This window comes from Homo sapiens, chromosome 3, assembly GCF_000001405.40.
Source record: "Homo sapiens chromosome 3, GRCh38.p14 Primary Assembly".
Classification (NCBI taxonomy): domain Eukaryota; kingdom Metazoa; phylum Chordata; class Mammalia; order Primates; family Hominidae; genus Homo; species Homo sapiens.
Window position 1 is genome coordinate 137,328,702 of NC_000003.12, and position 20,078 is coordinate 137,348,779.

The 20,078-nt window shown below is 40.8% G+C and overlaps 5 annotated features.

The window, feature by feature from the left end:
• Window positions 1–1,728: an enhancer, noted in NCBI's record as "VISTA enhancer hs209". NCBI's record gives its function as "enhancer in: midbrain (mesencephalon)[6/8]" and the evidence as "EXISTENCE:transgenic organism evidence [ECO:0001131][PMID:17130149]".
• Window positions 1–1,758: a biological region, named in NCBI's record as "VISTA enhancer hs209".
• Window positions 1,709–1,758: an enhancer, noted in NCBI's record as "active region_20596". NCBI's record gives its function as "activates an Ori minimal core promoter by ATAC-STARR-seq in GM12878 lymphoblastoid cells {active_cell/tissue: GM12878}" and the evidence as "EXISTENCE:reporter gene assay evidence [ECO:0000049][PMID:35858748]".
• Window positions 2,947–4,146: an enhancer, noted in NCBI's record as "MED14-independent group 3 enhancer chr3:137050490-137051689 (GRCh37/hg19 assembly coordinates)". NCBI's record gives its function as "activates an origin of replication core promoter dependent on BRD2, BRD4, P300/CBP and CDK7 cofactors, and independent of MED14, by STARR-seq in HCT116 cells {active_cell/tissue: HCT116}" and the evidence as "EXISTENCE:reporter gene assay evidence [ECO:0000049][PMID:35650434]".
• Window positions 3,697–3,846: an enhancer, noted in NCBI's record as "active region_20597". NCBI's record gives its function as "activates an Ori minimal core promoter by ATAC-STARR-seq in GM12878 lymphoblastoid cells {active_cell/tissue: GM12878}" and the evidence as "EXISTENCE:reporter gene assay evidence [ECO:0000049][PMID:35858748]".

Below are 20,078 nucleotides of genomic sequence, written 5' to 3' on the forward strand. Positions count from 1 at the left end.
AGCAAGTCGGCCAGACAACCTTTATGATCTTACCTTTGTACTCAGGAAAAAATATAAAATTACGAAGGAATTTTTTAGGAAGCTAAAATAGGTCACCTTCCCACTCTTAGTACTGAGAAAGACATTTTTAGAGCTTGCTTTCCAAACAAGCAAATTGAACTGAAGAAGTAACTTTCATTTGAAAATCAGGTGAAAGTCAACAACATTGATGATTACAAAATTAACAACAATAATTCCCTGGGAGAGTACCTTCACATGTCAACTAATTCATAGGGTGAAAAAAAAAATAGACAAAATTCAGTTCAACAACAGGTAATTTTGAAAATAGTCAATTTAAGAATTACCCACTAAGTAGGAGTTAGAAGTCTATGATTATTTTTTGGTTTATTCTAAAAGTGACTTGTGTAGACACAGCCTGTGTAGGGAAAGCAGACCGTGATTTGAAACATGCTGCTGCCAACCAAACAATAAAATGAAGAGAACAATAAACAAAGGAAACCTTTCCAAAGGCTCTCTTCATTTACATTCTGAGATTACTGGCCTCATCTCTCTGCTGAAATAGCCTTGCTTTACCAACGACCATCCAAATGCATAATCAGGTGCTACTGGCAGCTTTTGCTCCAACAAACTGCATGGAGAATATTTGAATGCTGCCAAGACTATAGGTGCCTGTTTCAAGTTGTCACAGAATATGCTATAACATGTCATAAATAAGGGAGGTATATTTATAAATCTGACATTAAAAATGTGTTCCTAAAATATCTCGCGTGTTCCTTGGCCATGTCAGCATAGAAATAATGTTTAGTATTTGTTTATTTTACTGGACCACCCCATGAACCTGGGGGAAACATGTTAGAAAAAAAATTATAGCTACGCCAACTATTCTGGGAGATACACGAGCCCTCCATGTTTATCAGGTTGAGGGCACTGTATTTTGATGTCAATAAGCAATTTTTCCAGCCCGGTCTCCTGCCCGACCCTTTTAATCCATCAATATATTATTAGAGATAAAGTTGGTGGATGCCTGCTGCAGTTAGAAGATAAATGACATCTCTGAAGTCAGGCATTAAAGACTAGATTAAGGCCTTGTGACACCGTTTTCAGTGCTCATCTGTGCACTTCTGTTCAACCTATCACACTGAGTGACAAGAAAGAAAAATAATGAACTGGGCCAGGGGAAGAAGAAGGAAAAAAAAAAAGGCAGAAAAAGAGAGAGATTTTTTTCCCCCTAACACACAAACTACATCAGTTCACACTCGGGATTAGACTGCATTTAAAGAAAGGAAAAAAGAAAAGAAAATGGGGAATTGGGAAGGACAGGGAAGGGACTGTTCTGTAAAGATGAAAATAGGTAGACAAAAGGGACCTGAAAGCAAAGAATTCCATTTCTGCCTGGCCCATGTTGCCTTTGGTTCCCCCACCTGCCTCCCAGCCTCTCCCATGCAGATATCCCCCAGTTGGCTTCCAGTTGCTTTAGGAATCTGCTCCATCCCTGAGTTCGGAGTGCTGACACAAGTCTTGTTAAGAGGCAGCACTCGGTTCTCAATCTTGGTGAATCGTGTTCTTCCCTCCTCACCAAAGGATTTCCTTCATGCTGCTATCATTGGTCTGGTTGGAGGTATTAAAGATTTTTGTAACTCTGTCTTCTGATAGTGATTTGAATATGGCTACTGAGTTGACAAGTACAAATGTTGAATTTTCTCCAATTGTGTGGAAAACAGGAGCCATAAATGAATTGCTTGGGGGAAGTGAAAGGAAAGCGAGATGCTGGGCAGGTGAGAGGGGATTAACCAGTGGAAAGCACCCAGGTTTGTGGGGAGGAGGCTTGGGCCAATTAATTCCAAGTTCTCTTTCTCAATCACTTATGCAGGATCAAAACCGCATCCCCTCCCCATATGATATGCTGTGTTTGTGAGTTTAGAAGGACACCTCTTTTGTAGATCTCTTTTGCTCCCAGCACTTCAACAGTCCTTATTAGAATGCAAGTCCAGAAGACATTTATGTGCATTGGTGGTGTTCCTGGTACCTTTCACTGTGGAACACATAGGAGGTCCTCCATTGATATTTGGTAACTGATTGATAACTCTTGCAGCCCCAACCTCTTTTCTGTGCTCCTGCTGAATGTATCGTATAAATTATTCTGCTGTTGTAAACATCCCCCATCTTTGATCCAACGCTGTATGGCAAGCCTTCTTGGCTGTTCATGTCGCTATCCACTGTCTATAGGTTCAGTTTGTTTCCAATTCCTGGCTTTTTTTTCTTTCCCTCTTGCATACCCCTTGTTTATTTCTTCCTCCCCTTTTCTTCAGCCCCAATTCAAGGCATCATTGTTGCAGGCTTTATCCCCAAATTCATTTTCTGTTCTTAAAATCCATTATGCCAACCATCACAAGATTGATCCTCCTCAAACTCTCCTTCAACTGTGACATTCCCTGTTCAAAATCTCCTACCAAGTATAAAACAAAGTTCAAATTCTTTATTATATCATTAAGACTCTGCAGATTCTGATCCAACTGCTTTTTCTGTCTCATCTTTTTCTCGTCCTCCTCTAAAACCTAGCCTTCAGCAAAGTCATTCATATGCTTTAGACATGGTTATCATTTACTCATCTCTGTTTGCTTTTGCTCTTCCTTGTTTTGAAATTTCCTTCCGTGGACATCTTCACTTGTCCGAACACTGTACTCTCCCTGGCTCACTCTTCTTTTCCATGTGGCTGTCTCTGTCTTCTCTTAGTGGCAGAACCTAGCTTGGCTCAGAAAGTCAACTGATTACAAGGCTTGGTAATCATAGAAAAGGCATAGGCAGCTAGGTCTCAAGGAATCTAACCAGAGAATTGGCATATCCTTAAAATTCTCTTTTTTTTGCCTCTGCTTCTTTGCAAATGTTGAGTTCCTTCTTTCTAACTATCTTTGTCTGTTTGGGCTGCTATAATAAAATATCATAGAGAGAGTACCTTATGAACAACAGAAATTTATTACTCATAGTTCTGGGGGCTGTAGAGTTCAAGATCAAGACTAGCACATTCCAAGTCTGATGAGTGCCCTCTTCCTGGTTCATAGATAGTGCCTTCTTGCTGTGTCCTCCTGTAGTAGAAGGGTCAAAGCAGCTCTCTGGGGCTTCTTTTAAAGGGTTGTAATCCTGTTTATGAGGGCTCCACCCCCATGACCTAGTCACCTCCCCAAAGGCCCCAGTCGACTTGGGAATTAGGATTTCAACCTATACATTTTGGGGGAACACACAAACATTCAGACCATAGCAGCAGCTGATGGTAAGGATTTTTCCACATCAAAGGTAGAGTTGTGAGATGGACAAACACATTGCCGATAGCTCTAGTTTCATATTTTCCCCACCAGAGACAAACTGATACCTGGGCTCTCTGACCCCAAAGGGAAAAGTCCTGAGCAAGAAGATACCTGATTAATCTAGTAGTTATCAGATGTCTATTCCTGAGCCAAGAAAGCGAGCCGTGGTTGGGGGATACAGAGGCATCAAAGGTACTAGGATTGGCCAAGTCTGAGCACATACCCTCCAATCTGGCCAGGGAGGGAGATTGCAGAGGTGACCATGATCTTTCCCACCTTGTGACTTTGTACCTCCTTCTATCAAGAGGTAGAGTCTACTTCCCCACCACTTGAATCTAGGGTGGACTTAGTCCTTGATTGAGTGTCAAAAGAATGCAGCAGGAGTGACGTGGTACCAGTTTCAAGCCTCGGTCTCAAAAGATCATGCACAATTCCACTCTTTCTCAGAAACCTGCCACCACCATGTGAACAAGTCTGGGCTAGCCTGTGTGATAATGAGAGATATGTGGCTCAGTCATCCTTGTTACCCCAATTGACAACCAACCAATCACAAGAAGCAGAGCTGCCTAGTGAGTCATCAGTGCCATCAGTATATTCAGTTGAGATCAGAAGAACCACATAGATAAGTTCAGACCAAAAAGCCAACTCATAAGCACATAAATGGTTGTTTTTTTAAGCCTCTAACTTTTGGGTGTTCTGTTATACATCAAATCTAACTGACACAAAGGTGGAATATGTATGACAGCTGCTCCCCTGGTAACTGTATAGTTTAGAGTAGAATATTTTCCAGAAGCAGGAAGACTGTGTTCTGGGCAAACAAAACCATGGATGGCAGGTACAGCCACTTCCATGCCCTAACACAAGACTATTGCATTCTTTTTTATTTCTGAGTAGACAGTGAACCGCTGAGGGCAGTGGCTGGTCTGGTTCATTTCTCCTAGTAATTAGCAGAGGCTCTCATACACATTAGGTACTTGGTGAATCTTAGTTAAATGAGTGACTAGATGGGATATTATTCCATCATCATTCTCATTTGTGGGTATATGAGACTTGAACATTTTATCACTGATATACCACTAAACCTTGGAACCTTAAGAATATTTTTTGGGAAAAAAATCTTTCATATATTACACAAAAATGCAAATCTGATGCCATACCCCAGTGATAGGTTTGATAAAATTCAAGACTAAACCACTTTATAAAAAGGACATACTTCTAGCAATGCTCACAGAGCAGCTTTTATTCATGCTTTCTGCAGAAACTGAGCCCTTTCTTTGTCTATGAAACATCCATGACTGCCATTTGTTGATATCCACTATCAGCCAGACAATGTGCTTCTCATTATGTAAACATATCTCATTTAATTCAGTCCTCCAAGTGGCCCCATGAAGTAATCATTCTCATTTTACAGAAGAGGAAACTGAAACTCAGGGAAGTTAAATATAATTGCTCAAGTTCATACATATAGTAAGCGTCCAAGCAGTGATTTGAACACAGGGCTCTCTTGCTCTACAGACCTTCTGTATTTGGATAGTGCTGCTGGAGGATGGGGATGACTTCCAAATTGAGACAAAATCTCTCTATTTTTATCTAATTTTTACTCTTGGGACTATACTATTCACTAATTTCTTCATCCTACATGTTTCTACTTTTCTTTTGCTTTTAAGATGTGTCTTAGACATAATATTTTATTTAGCTTACCATAGCCACTATAGCACAGGGACAGTTGTCCATTTAGAGTCATGTCCAGCCATGGCTTGGTTATGGGCTGTAAGTAAAAGTTAGCATTACTAAAATGCTTGAGGAGTTACATCTAAAGATATTTAAACATATACAAAGCTTCGGTGAACACCTTTCAGCATGTTGGGAACACAAACTGTGCAAGTTCAGGAGGTGATCATAAGACATGACCTCTGCCTTTATGGACCTTATAGTCTGGTGGGAAAGAGCTATGTACCCAATAGTTTCCCAATGAAGGGGTATGTATTAAATGCTAGGGGCACATGCCCATCACAAGAGGGCACAGAGGAGGAAGAGACAACTTCCATTGGCAAGAACCAGGACATGTTTACAGGAGAGATGGGCACATGAGCTAAGTATTGGAGGACAAATGAGAATTAGAAAGACAGAGCTGGTGTAGCATTCCAGTTTAGTGTCCCTTTTCAAAAATGCTTAGTATGAGCTGAGCGCAATGATGCCCAACTGTAGTCCCAGCTACTTGGGAAGCTGAAGAGGGAGGATAGCTTGAACCCAGGAGTTTGATGCCAGCCTGAGCAACATAGCAAGACTATCTCTCTTAAAAAAAAAAAAAAAAAAAAAAAAAAAGCTTAGTATGTCCCTGAGAGAGAGAAAGAAAACAGCATTGTCTCCATCTTCATTACCTTCAAGCACTGTATGAGGACACTCACAGTGACAGAAAAAGAGAGTAATTATAGGCTCAAGGGAGAGAAAATTGGAGATTCTCTGAAATGTTGGGAGTATCCGGGTCTCTGTGGATAGTTTAGACTGATTTTCTGTGAAGACAAACACACAGACAATTTCAAGGTATGTTTATAAGGAAGATATTTTCAATTCTGGAAGTATAAAATTATGAGAGTATAAAATTGATGAGGGAGAATCATCAAGTTACATGAGGTAAAATGCACAATGTAACGAAAGGAACTTTCAAGGAAATAGACTTCAATGGAAATCAGAAACCAATTTAAAATCTTCTATAAGAAAGTACTGCCAGTTGTGATGGCTCACACCTGTAATCCCAGGACTTTGGGAAGCCAAGGCTGGAGGATTGCTTGAGGCCAGGAGTTCGAGATCAGCCTGGGCAACATAGTGAGACCTGGTCTCTACAAAAATTAGAAAAAATTAGTTGAGTGTGGTGGCATGCGCTTGTAGTACCAGCTCCTCAGGGTGCTAAGGAGGGAGGCTTGCTTGAGCCCAGGAGTTCAAGGCTAAAGTGAACCATGATTATGCCACTGCATTCTAGCCTGGCTGGCAGAGTGAGACCTGCCTCAAAAAAAAAAAAAATAAAAAAAAAAAAAAGAGTGAAAGTACTAAAAACAACAACAACAGCAACACACACACAACTGAATGTTTCTTAATAAAATTTAAAAGAATTTAAAAAATCTAAGTTTATCCTCTGCTTTAGTTACTACCAGAGATTCAGAAGTCTCTTACACAATTCGCAATTTTATTCTGAAAACAAGGCAAACAGATTTAAAATAAAGCCAAAACAGTATATGATTGTAGTGAATTGAGTGGTGTCTCCCAAAAGAACTCATGTTTACCCAGAATCTCAAAAGGGTATCTTATTTGGAATAAAGGTCCTTGCATATGTAATTAAGGTAAGATTAGTAATAAGATCATATTGGCTTAGGGTGGGATCTGATACCTGGTGTCCTTTTAAGAAGAGAAGAGAACACAGATAGGAGAGAAGGCTGTGTGAAGAGGGAGTTAGAGCCTGAAGTCAGGCTGCTGCAAGCCAAGGAAGACCAGAAGCCACCAGAAGCTGGAAGAGGCAAGGAAAGATTCTCTCCCGGAGCCTTGGAAGGGAGTGTACCCCTGCTGTCACCGTGAGTTTGGACATCTGGCTTCCAGAATGGTGAGAAAATAAATTTCTTTTGTTTTAAGCCATCTGGTTTGTGGTAATTTGTTACAGCAGCCCTAGGAAACGAATACAATGATTAAAGCATTGGGTTTCAGAGGAGGGGTTCTGGAATACGTAGGACTTCCTAGAGGAGGTCACGTGGGAAACTGAGACGTTAGGGAAGTAAAGAGGAGGGAAGGACTTTCTTGGAACAAGGAACCAGCAGTAGCAAAAGTGTTTAGGTGGGAATGGACAAGAAAGGGCAGACCTTCTGCACGGAGAACTAAACTTGCCTTGATTTGTACCTGGTAGGGAACTCCTGGCTTTTCTTTCTCTTGACATGGATGCATCATTAGAAATAGTCTCATATTTAAAAATAATAATAAGGAGAAGATTTCTAATTCCAGTATAGACCAAAGAAAATTAAGAGAAAATCAGTGAGGAAGATCATGAGAAATGAGGTGGAGACTTTCTTAAGAGGGGAACAATATGAGCAAAGCTGTTAAAGCAGATGTTGGTATATATGTGAGAAAAATATTTCCTGATACTATATATCAGAATATGTGTAAACAAACTAGCTCACTAACTTACTAACAAAAAGCAGGGGAGTACTGAGAGACAGAAAACATGGATTCAGCATGTGCACATTTCTGGTTGGGTAGGAAAGGCAAGGAAGTAGGGAAGACAGATTAAATTAAATTAAGTTTTAATTATTAAAACTACTGTAAGCACTACTGTTCCCTGCTCCAAACAGCAGATGGTGTCATCAGTTTATCATAGCTGGGTTGCAGTTCAGAATGGCCAGAGTGAGGACAGTGGAAGTGAGTATGTTCTTTCAGAAGCTGGGGAGTTATGGGTTATTTGCAGGCTATGTATCTATGTCTTAGGTACGAGTCTGTAAAATACATATGTTCCCTAAAACATCTGGCCTCCAATTTTACAATAATTAAAAATGGCCATGGATTTTCCAACTGGCTGATGAAAGGGAAAAATAATAAGAAAAAGCAAAAGAAGGTTTAATACATTTATAATTTAACATGTGTGTTGTTCTACATTATTAGTCATAAAGAATTTTTGGGCTGGAAAATCCTGAGTGTTTTTGTGTCTAATTTTCTGAATGTAGTCTTAGGTCCTGAGATAGATAATCTCTTTTTTTTTTCCTCTTAGATTGCTTTTTTATTTTAAGTAAAGATTTGCCTTGCTTTAAAGAAACTGTGCCTTTTGATTATGGTTTATTACAAGAAAGCCGAGGAATCAGTGGACTAATGAAAAGATGGTGAATTTTAATGTATGTTTATATATTTTAGTTAAAATAAAATGTAGGTCTTCATGTGCATTTTTAAAATTTAAAATTTTTATTATACTTTAAGTTCTGGGATACATGTGCAGAATGTGCAGGTTTGTTACATAGGTATACATGGAGATAGATAATCTTGAAACCCAAAGACTAAGTTATTCATTTCAACATTGAGCAGGCACAGAATATAGGTGCTTAATCAGTGTCTGTAGAATGAACTAATTAATAGATCCTATAAAATTGGTGAATGAAATTGGGAGTATGGTCAAACATGCTGTTTCTAAATTGTGGGCATGGCTAAAATAATTTTTATGAAGAAGTAGAATATAAGAAAGCATGTCAGAAATTGGATAAGATATAAAAGTCCCGTGTCCCCTTTCTGCTAGAAGGAAAACTGTAAAGAAGGTAATGGGGGCTGATATGGTTTGGCTGTGTCCCCACCCAAATCTTATTTTGAATTGTACTTCTCATAATCCCCATGTGTCCTGGGAGGGACAGTGTGGAAGGTAATTTAATCATGGAGGCATTTACCCTCATGCTGTTCTCATGATAGTGAGTGAGTTCTCATGAGACCTGACGGTTTTATAAGAGGGTTTTCCCCCTTTTACTTGGCACTTCTCCTTCCTACTGCCATGTGAAGAAGGATGTGTTGTCTTCCCATTTTCCCATGATTGTAAGTTTCCTGAGGCCTCCCCAGCCATGCTGAACTGTGAGTCAATTAAACCTCTTTCCTTTATAAATTACCCAGTCTCAGATATATTCTTATAGCAGCATGGGAATGGACTAATACAGTAAATTGGTACCAAGAGTATGGTGCTGCTATAAAGATACCTGAAAATGTGGAAGCAACTTTGGAACTGGGTAACAGGCAGAAGTTGGAACAGTTTGGAGGGCTCAGAATAACACAGGAAAATGTGGGAAAGTTTGGAACTTCCTAGAGACTTGGAGGGCTCAGAAGACAGAAAGATGTGTGAAAGTTTGGAACTTCCTAGAGACTTGTTGAATGGCTTTGCCTAAAATGCTGATAGTGATATGGACAATAAAGTCCAGACTGAGGTGGTCTTAGACGCAGATGAGGAACTTGTTGGGAAGTGGAGCAAAGGTGACTCTTGTTATGCTTTAGCAAAGAGACTGCTGGCATTTTGCCCCTGCTGTAGAGATCTGTGGAACTTTGAACTTGAGAGAGATGATTTAGGGTATCTGGCAGAAGAAATTTCCAAGCAGCAAAACAGTCAAGAGGTGACAGAGCATGAAAGTTCAGAAAATTTGCAGTCTGACAATGCAATAGGAAAGAAAAACCCATTTTTTGAGGGGAAATTCAAGCTGGCTGCAGAAATTTGCATAAGTGATGAGAAGCCAAATGTTAATCACCAAGAAAATAAGAAATATGTTTCCAGGGCACATCAGAGGTCTTCAAAGCAGCTCCTCCCATCACAGGCCCAGACTAGGAACAAAAATGGCTTCCTGGTCTACATCCAGGGTGCCCTTGCTGTAAGCAGTCTCAGAACTGCATCCCAGTCACTCCAGCCATAGCTAAAAGGGGCCAAGGTACAGCTCAGGATGTTGCTTCAGAGGGTGCAAGCACCCAGCCTTGGCAGCTTCCACGTGGTGTTGGTCCTGGGGGTGTGCAAAAGACAAGAATTGAGGTTTGGGAACCTCTGCCTAGATTTCAGAGGATGTACAGAAACGCCTTGATGTCCAGGCAGAAGTTGGCTACCGCGGTGGGGCCCTCACGGAGAACCTCTGCTAGGGCTGTGTGGATGGGAAATGTGATGTTGGAGCCCCAACTGGGGCACTGGTTAGTGGAGCTGTGAGAAGAGGGCCACTGTCCTCCAGACCCCAGAATGGTAGCTCCACTGACAGCTTGTACCATGCACCTGGAAAAGCCACAGACACTCAATAGCAGCCTATGAAAGCAGCTGGGATGGGGGCTGTACCCTGCAAAGCCAGAGGGGTGGAGCCTCCCAAGGCCATGGGAGCCCATCTCTTGCATCAGCATGACTTGGATGTGAGACATGGAGTCAAAGGACATCATTTTGGAACTTCAATGTTTAATGACTGCTCTTTTGGATTTCAGACTTGCATGGGGCCTGTAGCCCCTTTGTTTTGGCCAACTTCTCCCATTTGGAATGGGTGTATTTACCCAATGCCTGTCCCCTCTGTTGTATGTAGAAAGTAACTAACTTGTTTTTGATTTTACAGGTTCATAGGTGAAAGGGGCTTGCTTGTCTCAGATGAGACTTTGAACTTGGAGTTTTGAGTTAATGCTGGAATAAATTAAGACTTTGGGGGACTGCTGGAAGGGCATGATTATGTTTTAAAATGTTATGAGATGAGATTTGGGAAGGGCCATGGCAGAATGATCTGGTTTGGCCATGTTCCCACCCAAATCATATTTTGTATTATAGTTTCCATAATTCCCACATGTTGTGGGAGGGACCCAGTGGGAGGTAATTTAATCACGGAGGCATTTACCCTCATGCTGTTCTCATGATAGTGAGTTCTTACAATATCTGATGGTTTTTTAAGGGACTTTTCCCCCTTTTGCTTGGCACTTCTCCTTCCTGCTGTCATGTGAAGAAGGACATGTTTGCTTCCCCTTCCACCATGATTGTAAGTTTCCTGAGGCCTCTCCAGCCATGGTGAACTCTGAGTCAATTAAACCTCTTTCCTTTATAAATTATCCAGTTTTATACCCTGTATGTCTTTATTAACAGCGTGAGAACAAGCTAATACAGGAGCCTTGGCTGCAACATTTGAACTTTATACTCCCAAATCAGGACTTGACCCTTTGGGGCTCCCCAAGGATGACCCTCCCCAACAAAGTCTCAAACAACCATATTATTATTGCTGTCTCATCAGTAGAAATCCTTGAGCTTCTAGGATAAGTTCCTAGAATTTAAGCTTTATCATACCTCACACACCACGTGGCTGTCACCTGGCTTCTGGGAGTGTTCATTCCTAATGAATGCTTATTGTCTTTGCCTGGCCTGAAACAGTCACTTCTTGATTTGCAGAGACACATCTGAACTGGGGATGTACCTTGCTTTCTATAGTCCAAGGAAAGGTCTCAATATGTCTATGAAAAGAGAGGACTTGGGAATGGGAAGAGGAGCCTATGAAGCTTTTCGTGATTCCTGAGCTGCAAGTATAATCCTGCATAGGATTAGTACCTATGACCACCACTTTGATGTGTTGGACCAAGAATAATGTACTGAAGAGCTCAAGGTGGAGAGAATGGGTCTTGGTGTGGCCCATCATAAGGAGCAAAAGAAGTGAAAGTTAAAATTTGGTGTTGGCCTTGATCATATCAATCAAACCCAAATTCTGTAAATAACCCTCCACAGTCCAATACATTATGTGCCATAGCCATCATGGCCCTCTGAGAAGATGCTTATGTGTGTCCCATTGTCCCAGCCATACACACACACTTTGGCTCAATATGGCTAAACCAAAATAGAGTGTCAACCTATTCTACCCCTTACCACTAGGTAGAAACCTGGGGGAATAGTTTTGCTTCTTAAAAGTCTCAATATGGTGCTTATCCAAAGATGGGAGTTGTAATAAATGGAGCCCTACCCCACCCGTTATGCCATCCAAAATTCTTCAGTGTTTCCTGCCAGATTTTCAACTATTTTATCTCACGTGTTCATGTTTCAGATATTCTGATCATCTTATTCTGGAAGAAGTGAGTTATCAGTTGTCCATAAAGTCCTGCAGACTTTTCATAAACTGAACTTTTCATTGATCATGACCCTTATCCTACATAACCCAAGTCATCAAGACCTATGCAGTGGAGAGGCTAAATTATGGCAGGACTGTGCTCCACAGGGAAGAAATGTGGTCCCTCAATACAAGCCGTGTCCTCAATAGAGGTAATTTTAACAAATGGGACCAAGATTCCAGCAATAGAGGCAGCCTCTGTGAGTCAATAAAGAACAGGAGAGACCTTTGTAGGAGGAAAATGGGAACAAACATAATCAATCCTTTCACAGGCAAAGACCTTTTTTTTGGAGGTAGTGTCTTTGGTTTAACCCCTTAACTCTGCCAGTTCCCAGAACGAGGTGAAATTAGAAGCATCTTCTGCATAATAGGCATAATGCCAACTGCTTTGAAAATTTGTTGTAATAATTAGAGAAAGTAATATATTATCACACTTTGGAAATAATATATTATTGACAAACATTACATCCTTTACCCCTTTTCCTTCCCCAAATGGAACCCAATTTAATTAATAAGTATATTGAGTCTTCACTAGACTAATAACTTCTGGAATTTGGGATATATAAAAAAAACTATCTCTACTGTGAAATCAGAAATAAAGGAATGCAGATGCTTTCCTCTTGGGAGCTCAGACTTTGTAAAATCAGAAGTAGGTTTAGGCCTCTGCAGGGCAGACAAAGCCAGAAGCAGCCATTCCATTTCCTTGGGTCAAGGGGAGGCAGCCAGGACCACTGCACTGTCTGAGGCTGGGGCCTCCCTTTTTCCCCCTGCATCCCCTGGGAGCCTCTGGAACCAGTGCCTCTATTGTTACGCATCTCAGTTTTTTCATCTGCATGATTGAGAACTCAATCATGTTGACCTCATAGGCAGGAATACTAAATAATTTTCATAAAGATCTATGAAATCAACTAAGTTATGTCTAAAAGCCACACTATTTGTTTTACAGATCTGCAGTGCAATTGTGCCCATGTGTGTGCTTTCTACATGATTTCTGGTCATCTGTGAGCTTGATTTCTCTTGTCTTGCCATGGTGAGTTACATCAAACATACCTGCAGATTTCCTGACTGACATAGAGTCTCCTTCTCCTTCCAGCGCCTTCATGATCACTGTCCCCTTTTGAAGATTCTTTTTTCAACTCTCTCTTTTTCAAAAGATTACTTTGTCACAATTATTCAGGAAAGGGTTTTGCGCCTGTAGGAAATATTAATAGACTATTATGAGGTCCTACAACTAATTTTTCCACACATATCATCTGTCTTTGCATGGTTATTAAACTTCAACAATATTTCATGCAATGCTTCCCTGCTAAATTAATTTGGTTCCTTCTTTTCTGGCTTCTTCTTTTCTGTCCACAAGCTTTAAAATTAAATTGAATCTTCATAATTATAGCTTTTTGTTGTTCTCCTTCATATCTTTTTCTTTTTTTCAATTTCTCTATCAAAGGAGCAATAAAGACATAAAGAAGCAAAATTATAATTCTAAAAGACCCAAATAGTCTTGAGTTTGATGGGTTTGAGGCTGGGTATCTTTTAAGTAGGAGGAGAGCGGGTAAAGAAATTCAGACCTGGAATGTAGATAAATTGGCCCTAATTTATCCTGGGGCATTGGAAACAAATGAAAATTGTCCTCTCAATCATGAAACTTTTGTGGTTGTTATAGTGTTCTTATTTGTGTCAAGTGATACTCTCCTTTTTTAAAAAATAAATATTCTGTCTCTATATATCCACATGCACACACGAACACACATATTTTCTCTTGTGGTTAAATTTTCCCAAAGTCTCATGTAGTTATTAAATCTCTCTTAAAATCCCTTTCTTAGGCACTAAGGAATCTTCACTCATGTTACATATCTTGAAAGTGGGAGATGAAGAGCTAAAACAACATTCGTGCTTGGGGTTGACCCAGCCAAGGTACCAACCAAGGGGTTTGTAGGAATTGGAATCAGGAAGGGGGCTCTGATAGGAGGTCCTGAGAGTCAGAGGTAAGAGTCAGTTAAAGTCCATTGGGAAGAGCAGAGGCTCAAACACAAACATGGGAAGTATGGGTAAAAGAGACCCTTCAATCTCCTTCCACTCTCACTTCCACCTTGGTCCACTGTTTACTACCTCCACCATAGGAGAAAAGAAATTGCCAAGTGGATAGGTCAGATAGGTCTTCCTGACTGGACCTGCATTCCTGGTGGGTAGAATTACAGTGCTTCAAAGGCTGATGCCCCTGCCTAGCTGATCCTCAGATGGAAGCAGGACATGACCTCCTTGGATGAGCCAACCATTCTCATGAGTCTACCCTTCAGTCTAAACTGGTGGTTGTGTAGCGGATCCAGGGCCTGTCTTGGGGCTTGGTGTCCCTCTCTCTCCATTTCTCCAGCCAAAAATCTGCTTTCTTAAACTAAGCATCACAAGGGAGACCTATATTTAGCAGTTGCTGGCTTAGCTATTACTAAGGACTTAGCTATTACTAAGTACTTCAAATTCATCAAATTGTATACATTAAACATGTACAGGTTTTTTGGGGGGGAGGCGTATATCATTTATACTTCAATAAAGCTGTTAAAAAATAAGGAGATACTATGATTCCTATCCTGTTACTGCTCCCTTGGGAACCCTCTGGCAAGGATAGTGTATTAGTTTGTTTTCACAATGCTATAAAGATACCACGTGATACTGGGTAATTTATAAACAAAGGAGGTTTGACTCACAGTATCTAACTTTCAGAAATAACAGGAATAATCCCTGTAAGTTAGGAATTAGGAATAATTCCTATAAGTTAGACAACCCCCTGCATGGCTGGGGAGGCCTTGGGAAATTTACAATCACGGCAGGAGGGGAAGCAGGAAGCATGGCAGTGGGTGAAAGAGAGCGTGTGAAAGAGGAACTGTCAAACACTTATAGAATCATCAGGTTTCCTGAGAACTCACTCACTATCACGAGAATAGCATGGGGGAAACCACCCCCATGATCCAGTCACCTCCCATCAGGTCCCTTCCTTGACACGTGGGGATTATGGAGATTACAATTCAAGATGAGATTGATGAGCTTTGGGTGGGGATGCAGAGCCAAACCATATCAGATAGAAAGGCAGAAAAGGATTTCAGTGTTCCTAGGATTCTGGCCATAATATAATATAGCAAACTATCTTACCTCTAAAGTATGAGACCAAATGGAAACATTGAGTCAGACAGTATTCCAAATTCGACAGAGATAATAAGATCAACGGGAGGCTAGATTCAAGACAGGGATGAGGGTCCTGGAACATTTCTTTGAATATCAGTAGACATTTACATGTCACAGTAATGAATTGTGGGTTACATGGTATGTGATGAGTCAGGCTGGGTTAAGGTACAGAAATACTTCTCCATGAAAAAAGGATTTATAAAGCAAACAACAGTGTAATTAAATATCAGACAAGTGTTTAATTTACTTATGAAAATAAATTGAAATAAGGATTTAAAAAGTCTCTTAACGTATTTGCAAAGCAAGAGTTACTATCCTGATCACAGGGGAAGGGAATTTGGGGATGACCTAGTCCATTTATCTCACATGTTGAAGAAACTGAAGCTCAGAGGAGTCAGCTGGAATCAAGACCCCAAGTCTCACCAAATCTAAATCATATCTTATAATGCTTTCTTCTAGCAACATTACTCTTCTTCCTTAGCTCCTTTAGTCTGCATTTAAATAATAATAATAATGTATTTCCTTTCTAAACCTGTAGAATTCAGAATTTTTACTAATTTAACTTTTGAGAGACTGGATTAGTATTAACGAAAACTACAATATCTCCACACTCTAATGGGTGTGGCCAAGAAGACAAGAGACTAGAGTTTTAAGAAGTTCATTCTGAAAAATAATTTCAGCAATAGGAGTTTCTTTTGTAATGCTTTACTTTTAAAAGAACCCAACAAAACTTCCAATTATCTAATTAGCCTATTTGTTATTCCTGTAAGTTAGACACAGACATAATTTACCCCATTTTATAAATGGACAAACCAGTTCTTAAAGCAGTTCTGTTATTCCTAAGATGATGGCCATTCTGCAAGGGTATGGTAAGTCACCTATAAGGCTGTCTCTACAACCTCATTAACCCAATGAAGTCTGTGATGTGATTGTAAAGAAGTAGTCTGGGAAATTGATCCTCAGAGGCAGATGGAGTGGCCCAACCCTGTGGCCCATCTGGTCGCACTCTACAACATTAGGGCTCGAGGTACAGGTATCTGATTGAGAAGCAAAAGGTTCAGTGCAGTGATGGGGGAAGAGGAGGCCATCAATTACTGAGAAATTTGTTAACCTCCCCTGAAACCAAATCAGATGGGTTTAAAGCTCAACCAATTTAATTGAATGGACATGAATCAGGTACCTCTTCTGAACTGAATAGGGGATTCACCTGGGAAGGCGACCCAAGCCCTCCTCCCGAGAAGCTTCCTTCTCTCTATACTCACACCAGGCCCTAAGCAGGGCAGACTGTAAACAACAGTATAGTAGGATTAAGTATAAAATATACTAACCACCCTTACTGAGCGATTGCTATGTATCAGACTTTCGTCCAAGTCTCTTGACTAGATCACTTTGCTTAACAAAGAGACAGAGAAAAATGGAGGAAGAGATAATGCACACTCATTAGTCCATTGGTTCTTTCATTCAGACAGTAAACAGTCCCAGACCATTCACTCTTTTCCAAGCTCTGTGCTAAGCACTGAGGACATACAAGTGAATAAGGCAAGTCAACATTCCATAGAAAAATGTGATGTGAATCAGAAAATGATGTGCAAGATTAAAAACTTGTGGCATATGATTGTGTTGTGAGGCTATGGGAAAGAAGGGTCTTTATTGAAGAGCTACTATGGCAGCTTTAGTTCCAATTTTCACAGGAATGGGAAGAGTAAAAATGGGTGTCAGGGAGGCTGGGTGCCCTGTTCAGTGATGAAGCATCATATGTGAGAGTCTTGTATGGGCCACCTGCCCAGGGCTGTCTGGGAGGCAAACAGGGGAACCTGGAGGCTGAGAGAGGAGAAGGGGTGGTTGTAGGAAGGAGAAGGTTCAAAATCCCCAAATGGTTGTGAGCAACACACATTCTGTCTCCATTGCCTGTCTTCCTCACTTCAGTTTCTCATGGGCTGTCTTCCTTTCCTCCCATTGTCAGCCACTCTCCTCTGCCACCAGCTTAAACTGTCTGAAGCTCAACTTCAATCATACTAATAATAGCTAATACTTACAAAACCCTTCTTCTGTATACTGTTTTAAGCTCTTTATAAATGTATAAATGAATTTAATCTGCACAATCCTGAGAGGTAGGTACCATTATTATCCCCATATTACACATGCTATCACTGAGACCCAGAGATGAGACCTGTTTCAGGTCACAGAGAAGTGAAGGGAAGAGAGAGACTGAACCCCAGATAGTGGGCTACACAACATACACTTCAAGTGGCCAGGCCAGGCTCTGGGGCTTGTGTTATCTAGTAGTTTAAAAACATACCCTGGCTTGCTATCCATATCACAAGTAAATCTAGATGTTCACTTGTGATTTGGCTGCAATTTCCAGTCCTTTGTCCCACTGCCCATAATGTTCAGTCACTCGTCAGGCAAACAGAATTACTTAACAAGCTTTAATGTACCCCTTGGCTTCCTGCCTCTTTACCTTTGCTTCTTTTTCCTCCTCCTGGAAGGTCTCTTCCTTTGCAACTCCAAATCTACCTACCCATATTCAATGACCAGCTTAAGTACCACTTTCTCTACAAAGGCTTCTTGATTCCTGAGTTGAAAAATTGCTCTCCCTCCTCTGAACTCTCATGATACTTTTATTTATTTATTCATTTATTTTTTGAGACAGGGTCTCTTCTGTCACCCAGGCTGGAGTGCAGTGGCATGATCGTGGCTTACCGCAGCCTCAACCTCCTAGGTTCAAGAGATCCTCCCACCTCAGCTTCCCAAGTAGCTGGGACTACAGGCATGCACCACCACATCCAGCTAAGTTTTGTATTTTTCATAGAGATGGGGTTTTGCCGTGTTGTCCAGGCTGGCATTGAACTCTTGAATTCAAGCCCTCTGCCCACCTTGGCCTCCCAAATTGTTGGGATTACAAGTGTAATCCCACTGTGCCTGGCTGTCATGATAATTTTAAATTTACAATGTCTCTTGACCCCTTTATATACAAAGACTTGTGGTACCTTATAACTAAGGTAGACATACTTTATTTCCATTTTAATTTGTAAGCTTCGTGAGGCCTTCTCCTCTGTGCTGCACCTCCCCTGCCCTTGAAGCTTCCTTAGTTGCCCACCACTTCAATTCTTCCCCTGACTAACACTCTGGCCAGGACCCATGACACACTGAGCACTCAAGGATAAAAAACAGAGTGGCCAGATGTCCTGGCTTACCAAGGACTGTGCTGTTTTACATCTGTGGGTTGGGTGTTATTATCAATAGTGGCCTCCTCACTTTCAAAATGTCACAGTGTGGAAGATAAATCCTTATTACCCAGGTAAAAGTCACTCTCTAGGCAGGGCAGTGTGGCATTGTGGTTAAGACCTGGGACTCTAGGATCAGACACCGTGGGTTAGAAACCCAGCTTTGTCATTTGCTGTCCTTGTGGCCCTGAGCAAGTATGCCTGGAAACCCTCTTCTGTGAAGCAGGCATAACCGCAGTCCCCCACTCATCCATAGGCAACTAGGAGGACCAGATGAGTCAACCTTGTAGACTTGCCTGGGATGCAGTAGTAGTGCTCACCAACAGGAGGCAATGCTTTTGGGTATCCACAGGTCCAGCTGTACTCTTACCAGGTGTTAGTTGTCTTGGTTTATAAATCTGTTTTATAATAGCTGTGCTTAATAATGTAACCATGAAATTGAATTAAACATTACATAAACTGATGATAAGTGTGACAAGAGGAATTGTTGCTTCTTTGAACATTAAATTGAATGCTTTGGATTTGATAAAGGTGAGTCACTAAAAAATAGCTGTTGAATTACATGTGGGTAAAATCACTATAAAAGATTGGGAAACAAACATCTACAAAGTTTCTGCACTTAGGTGTCTTAAAATGACTTTAAGTTATTGCTGTAACTCATAGAAGCTAAAATTGTGGGTGTTTGCACAGGAAAGGGAAGGCAGAACTCCTTTAGCACATGCACATCGAAAGAAAAGATTCTGACCCAGCAGCAAAATAATAGTGAATAAATTGCACATTTGTGTGTTTTAGTTGAAATAAAACATGTAAGATCTATTTACATAACTTTTTTTAAAGCCTCACAACTTTAGTGGACTTTTTTTTTTCAGCGACTGCTATCTCTTGTGTGGACTGTTGTAGATAAGAGGACAACTCTAAACACTTTTTGAATTAATGAGTAAACAAATGCTTGGGATTAGAGGGTCACTGTAGAAAATGGTGTTGGCTCTGCTTTTCTTCTGTTGACCCTTGCCTCTAAAGGTCAAGCCTGCTTGCTAGGGATGCCTTGCACTCTTCATCTGAGAGCTTTTATTTCTGGCTGCAGGAATCACTCTGCTGACATGCAGGGCAAGTCAGGAGTGAGTGTGGGAGAGTTAATGACACAGAAATCAGTCCCTCCAGTGACAGACAGGGACTTGGTAAATAAATAACTTGGGTTCCTCACCCACCATTGAGACATCTGTGAGGCAAGTTCTACAGTCTCCCAGAGTGCCCCAGGTGCCCACAGTGGTAACTTACTTGACAACACAGCCTCTGCTGCTGCCTCTCCTCCATGCTGCACCTCCTCACTCCCACAGTGATGTTTCCCAGGATCACCTCCCAAATAAATGACTTGCTCCTGAATTCTTGTCCTAGAGTTTGCTTCTGGGGGACCCAAACGAAGACATAGCCCCAAACCTTAGGGCTTAGGATAATGTCTTTCACATAGAAGATGTACAATAAAAGATGTACAAATTTGATCAAACCAAAGAGCACAAATTTACTCAGGATGCGTTTAAAAAATTACCTGATTTGATTGAAGTTGAAACAAAGTATTAAGATTTTGAAGTCAATAAATGTTGCCACGTTAGTTGTTACCAGACCAGTTACCATAATAGTTTTTTTTTTTTTTTAATTTACATCCAGATGTTTTCTCTTGTACCTGAAGTCTTTGAGCAATTTGAGCCATGGGAATTAAGCTTCAAATGCAGGCCCAACAAAGTCAGTAAGGTCTCCTTTATTTCCTGTCCTCTCTT